The sequence below is a fragment of the Homo sapiens genome, chromosome 10 (genome assembly GCF_000001405.40).
Source record: "Homo sapiens chromosome 10, GRCh38.p14 Primary Assembly".
In the NCBI taxonomy this organism is placed as follows: Eukaryota; Metazoa; Chordata; class Mammalia; order Primates; family Hominidae; genus Homo; species Homo sapiens.
In genome coordinates, this window is record NC_000010.11 from 65247802 (window position 1) to 65253931 (window position 6130).

A 6130-nucleotide genomic window follows, 5' to 3' on the forward strand; every position below is an offset into this window, starting at 1 on the left:
ATGGGTTCAAGATAAGGATTAGAAATACAATTAAGGAGATGCATGAGCACATGAGAAATAAAAACAGAGAAAAAATGATAGATACAACTAAGTAAAATATTAGGGATTAAAAAATCTAATAGCTGCATAAAGGATATAATAGAATGTATTACTAGTAGTGTGGATACCTATTAGAACAAGTTAGTGAGATGGACTATCTCAAAAGAAGGGAAGGGCAAAACAATATAAATATAAAAAGATTTGTACTTAACATACACTTATGGAATGGTAACTAGAGACCACCATCAATAAACTTTTCATGAAATAGCATCATGGCACTAAAATGACCAATACAACAGAAGCATAAGAGATGGTCTGGATTAATGGTTGATGCTGGATTTCTTTGCAGACAATAGTTGTTCTTGCCCATATACTCAAATAAGCAATACATTGGGTTCAAAACTTCATATGAAAGCAAGGAAACCATTCTTTTGCTAGGCCACGATAATGAAGTTCTTCTTCTTCTCTAAATATTATATATAACTGCCACAAGCCTTGGGTTTTAATGTCATAATCTGTTGGAAGGAATCTTCAGACAATGTCTGCCGGGACACACTGACCTTTACATGACTCGGTAGTGCATTAGACTGGCACAGATACTAGAAGTGAGCAAGTTTCCACCTAAAGCTGTAATCATAAGCAATTTGTGGTCTATCTTTAGTTGCAAATGACTTCCTATTGCAAGGATCTTGAAATGCTGTTGTTCTTGTGTTATGATCAACAAAGTACCTAACACTCTCATGAGTATACAAAATTCCCAGCCTTCTGGCAGGGGTTCTGCGTTCTGGAAGCCTTGAGTTCCTGGATCTTCCCACTGGGTTGTTTTTGTTTTATGATTCACAAAGTAGACCCTGTCTGTTGAATCCATCCTTTTTTCCCAGCCTGGAGGTAAAGGTCCACAAAGGTCATTTTCTGCAGCTAACATTGAAGCCAACTAGAGGTATCACTGGTTGTTAAAAAAAAAAAAAAAAAAAGCTGCTGGCTTTTCTGAAGACAGGTACTTGAACGTGTCAGTTTGTTTTAAATAAATACAATAGTTGAAAAATATAAATAAATCAATATAAAAGGAAAGTTAAGAGATGTGGAGATAAAAGTAAAAGTGCCAACATCCAGATAGCAAGTATCACAGAAAATATTTAAAAGTAAAAGTAGGAAAGTAGAAATATTTTGGAAATCATAGCAATAAATGTCCCAAATGAAAGATAAATGGGCCCATAACATGTAAAATAAGAGAGATTAGGAAAAACCAATATATTTTCGTAAAAAGTAAATATATCAAAGTCAATGAGAATATCGTATCAATTTCCATAAAGAGCTGATCACCTATGAAGAAAGAGTGGTTAGACTGATATCAAACATTTTAATAACAACTGTGAATATAAGAAGAAATGAAGTAGCATTCAAAAAACATGGACAAAAGAATCTTTCATTACAGTTTTATATCTTGTCAAATTCTTACTGAAATGGAAAGCCACAGTAGAAATATTCTCAGGCATATAAAGCTTCAAAAGGTTGGTAACTGGAAGACCTACCTTGAAAACAGTATAGGAGGTGGTACACAGGCAGGGGAAAAAACAAATCCAGGGTATTCTTCAGAAGACAGAGACATGTATGAGAGACACGAGGTTAGCAATATCTATACACAAGCATATATACATATATACGCACATACATGTCAACATATATGTATAGTTTAAGATATATATACATGAAAAATATATGTACATCTTTGCACTGTAAATTGTTTATAATTTTCTTCATGCATATTTCTAAGATAATTATTCTTAAATGAAAATTTAAAACATAGCATGCTATGCTACAAATGTTAGTATGATCAGTATTTTTCAAGGCTAATATATTACTACATTGTAAATCAGTAATGATTACTATGGAAAGGTGAATACCCCAAAGAGCGTAATCCAAATATAAATATTTTTATATAATTTCATTTACTTTTAATTCCAAACAGTATTTAACTTTCTCTTCTGTGTATGTTTATATATATTTATTTTGCTCATTAAGTAAAACTTTATTGTATAACACCTGCTTGTTAAGTTCTGTGCTTTTTTTTTCCCCAATGTGGTAGCAAAAATGCTGTACTATAATTATGCTAATCAATTAAGTGAAACTGTTTATGACTGAAGAGGAATCAAATTTTTTTAAGTAGAGAAAATTAAAACATTTCTATTTGATTTTTAGAAAGAATGGAATAGAAAAATTATTTCTGTGTCACTGTAGGGTTGATTTAGATGTGCTTATTAATGACCACATTTTGTTTTTGTTTTGACCTGCACATGTGTGTATTTATATGTGTGTGTGTATTTATATGTGTGTATATTTAAAGTGAAAGTTATTAAAATTAAGAAAAATATGCATATTATATTTTATGAAATTGTTCATCATTTTCTAGTTGTTTCAACTGCAAGGTAGGACTAAATCTCATAGCACTGTGTTTCTAGATTTTAGATATTTCTAATCAGTCAAGTCTTTATCTCTAGAAGTTTCTACTTCCAGCATTATGTTTTCACACATCTGGATTCTTGATAGTGTTCAGACAAATATTTTTATAATAGAGAGAATGAGTTGCCTTTTAATCTTACCATTCATTCCAATATTTACCTTATTTACATATAATCATAATACTAAATATGAATAATAGGAAAAATGCCATACTTTTTCTTACTTCCTTACACTTCCTCTTATTGCTTATTTTTATATTTTTATTCAGTGTTTTCTGTCAAAATCATTGACAATGCATGATATATTGTATTCTAAGACCTAGGTTTCTTTCATATTTGCACATATTAATTCCTCTTCTAACAGTCTATACAATTGGTTTATTTATTATAATGATATTTTTATTTAGTTTTACTTTCCAATAATGCAACATTAAACAAAATTAAAACCAAAAAAGTCTACTCCGCTTATTCCCAGTGATCCTCTAGTTTGTGAGGTAATTTAAACATCTATCCCCATTTTCTAAATTGCTATGTTCAACTTACCATTTCCTACTTTTCAAAATATCATTTGGCATTTGGAGATTCTATCGTTTTGTTCCAGATTTGTAATTTTACCCTTTCTCCCTAGGCCTAGCTATTACTACAATGCTCTGATAATGAACTCATCCTGACTTGAAAATAATCTTGAATCTTGAATAAAACACCTTTACCAAACAGTTATAGTTTGAATGTAAGGTTTTTTCCACTGAATTCTTGTTAGTTTTAAATGTGTCAGGATTTTGGCTTACTTCAAGTACTCCCTGAAAATTACATTATCAATGAGGTTGATGTTTATAGAAAGTGTTCACACATAAAATCAGTAACCGCTCAAGAGATTTGATTTCTTTGAAGAATTGGTTACTAATTTGCCTCTCTTAAAGTTTGATAATTATTTTGATTATAATTTACCAAGAAATATAATGCATTTAAGTTCCCTTCTTTCCCTGATAAGACTTACATATGATCTTCTGGCATGATGGAGAAGAGTGTTTTACTTTCCTGGTTTGGGGACACATATACAATCCAAGGAAGTCATTCTCATAAGGAACATTCATCAATGTAACCTTCTTTCTAAGGAAGTTTTTATAGCTTTGAATTTTAAAATTTATTCAGTGTTTATATTGACAAAATATCCTCAAAAGCTACTTTTCCTTAAAAGAATAGACACATATATCTGTGATTTTTTTATATGCTAAGACTACATTGTATCTATTTTTCACATTGTTTATGAATAGTTTTAAGAAGTTATACTTTGTTTATATTCACAAGTTTTACCATAAAATTATGAATGACCAAAGTAAAATGAGGACGTAGAGAAAAATTTATATGGCAAATCTTAAAGTAAGCTGTATATTTATTTACACTGTAGGAAAGAAGTATGTAATGTGTCAGGTAGTACATTTGAAGAGAAAAAAAGTGAAGAAAGAAAGCAATTAGATATTTCTGCTAATCTCATTCAGTAAAATAATTTTTCCTTATTGAAAATTTCCACTGTCCACTATATCATATATTTATTTTAGAAAATATCTATAGTGTCTATACAGAAAATTAAGACTTCACATTCACTTAAATTTGGGTCTTTTGACATAACGTTGCTTAGAAGAAAAAACTATAAATATCAAATATAAAGCTAAATCAATAGCAATATATTATATATTTACTGGATACAGGCCTATCTTCTTTAAAATGTTAGGATTGTACTGCAGATTACCATGTATATAATGGTTTCCAAGGCTGTTTCATTTTTATTTCATTTTTACTTTCAATTACTCATTCATTCAACAAAATTTTTAAGCCCTAAAATGTAAGAAACACCAACAGTTTGATCTTTCTGAATATAAGGGTAAGCAGAACAATTGTGGTTCTCACATTCTTTGAAACATGAACAAATTAACTACCACATGACCATCCAGAAAGTTGGGTAATGCCACAAATTCAAATACTATACAGCTAATTGGGCCAAAATCTGTGACTTTTGGGTGAAGAGGAGGGAATATGTATAGATGCTGTGTCAGACTTCAAACAAGATATATCTTTTCCAACATGTGATGTTGTTGTTGAAAGATAAACCCTATAATCATTGGAATATAATGATATCTAAAATCAGAGATTGGTACTTCATAGGGATGCGCTTAAGGGAGAATGTGGGGCAGACTATAGAGAATGCGCTATAAAAGTTTAGTTTGACATCAGGGACTTCCAAAGAGGAGATTTAACAGAAACCATGTAAATAAGCAATTTATATTATACACAAACTTGTCTCTAGTTTGGAAACTTGCCAAATGTGAAGGCAAAGAGGAGGTAAAGAAAAACAAGCCAAAGATTCAAGCACAGAAAGGTTTGATCTGTATTAAAACATCATGTTGTACACCTTAAATATAGGCAACTTTTAAAAGGTTGTGACTTAAAGGGTCTTGCTGCAATCTACATTCTCTTTTTCAATACCTCACACCTGGCAATGACACAGCTCAAAACAAAGAAAAGTCAGATTTAGTGAGAGGTTGTTTTTAAACACTGACACAAAGTGAAAGCTAATGTTTGCTCCAATTCACAACCCTTCTAACATTACCCTTGCCTCTCACACTACTTCTCTTCAGACCCTACTGATCATAACTCAAAGATTAAAATCAAGAAGAAATGTGGGGAAAAATGTTAGAGAAAGAAATGTAAACAAAGAGCTAATAAGTACAATATATCATAGAAGGCACTACTCAAAAAAACACAAAATGAAATTGTGTAAAACATTTGTAATAGTTGCAATGAAATTACAGGCATGCTATTTCTTAGAAAAAGTTACAAGAGTTGTAAATATTCAGAAAATATATATAGTAGACCAAAATGGAAGAAAACAAGGGCTTTTATTTTTCAGGAAAAAAAGGCAAATATATGAAGTAAAAAATGAAAGCTAAATGTAAAAATAAAAATGGAATAAGAATAAACTATATATAATGGCTAAGCCTAAGTAAATCACTGTAAACTTTTAAAAACAACATAAAATTGAGAGAAAATGATAGTAATGGAATAGAGAAAAAACAAATTCTCTTTAAAAATATGAAGCACTTGAAGGATTTGTCCTGGGTCCCACACTCTCGCTGAGTCCTAAGCAGCTACAGCAAGGTACCATTTTGAAATCCCAACTCAAAAGAGCCTGCACACTGACCGGGGGCCCAGAGTCACTAGGATTGAGGTGTGAGTGAAGCAGCCATCACCATGGCTGAAGTACAAACAGAGTGGGTGTTCCTCACCTGCCAGCTTAGGCTGCCACCACTGAAGGCAGCCCTCCCCTCCCCAGTGGCTTGGATCCAGCACAACTGCAGCCACCCTCGACCTAAGCATTCTGTCAGGGCTCTGGGGAATGCAAATTTAAAGAGTTGAAAGAAATGACTGTTACACCAGATGCACAGATACCAGTGTAAGGATACATGAAAACAGCAAAAACATGTGACTCCTCCAGAGGAACACAATCATTCTTCGGCAAAAGATCCCCATTTTTAAAAAGTTACAAAAACCCAGAAAAGAACTCAAAATATCAATTTTAAAGAAGTTCGATAAGATATAAGGGAATACTGAAAAACAACACAAAGCAACCAGAA

General features: G+C 31.8%; 1 pseudogene; it reads right to left on the minus strand.

Moving 5' to 3' along the window:
- LOC100421870 (WW domain containing E3 ubiquitin protein ligase 2 pseudogene) lies at nucleotides 245-949 on the minus strand (annotated as a pseudogene).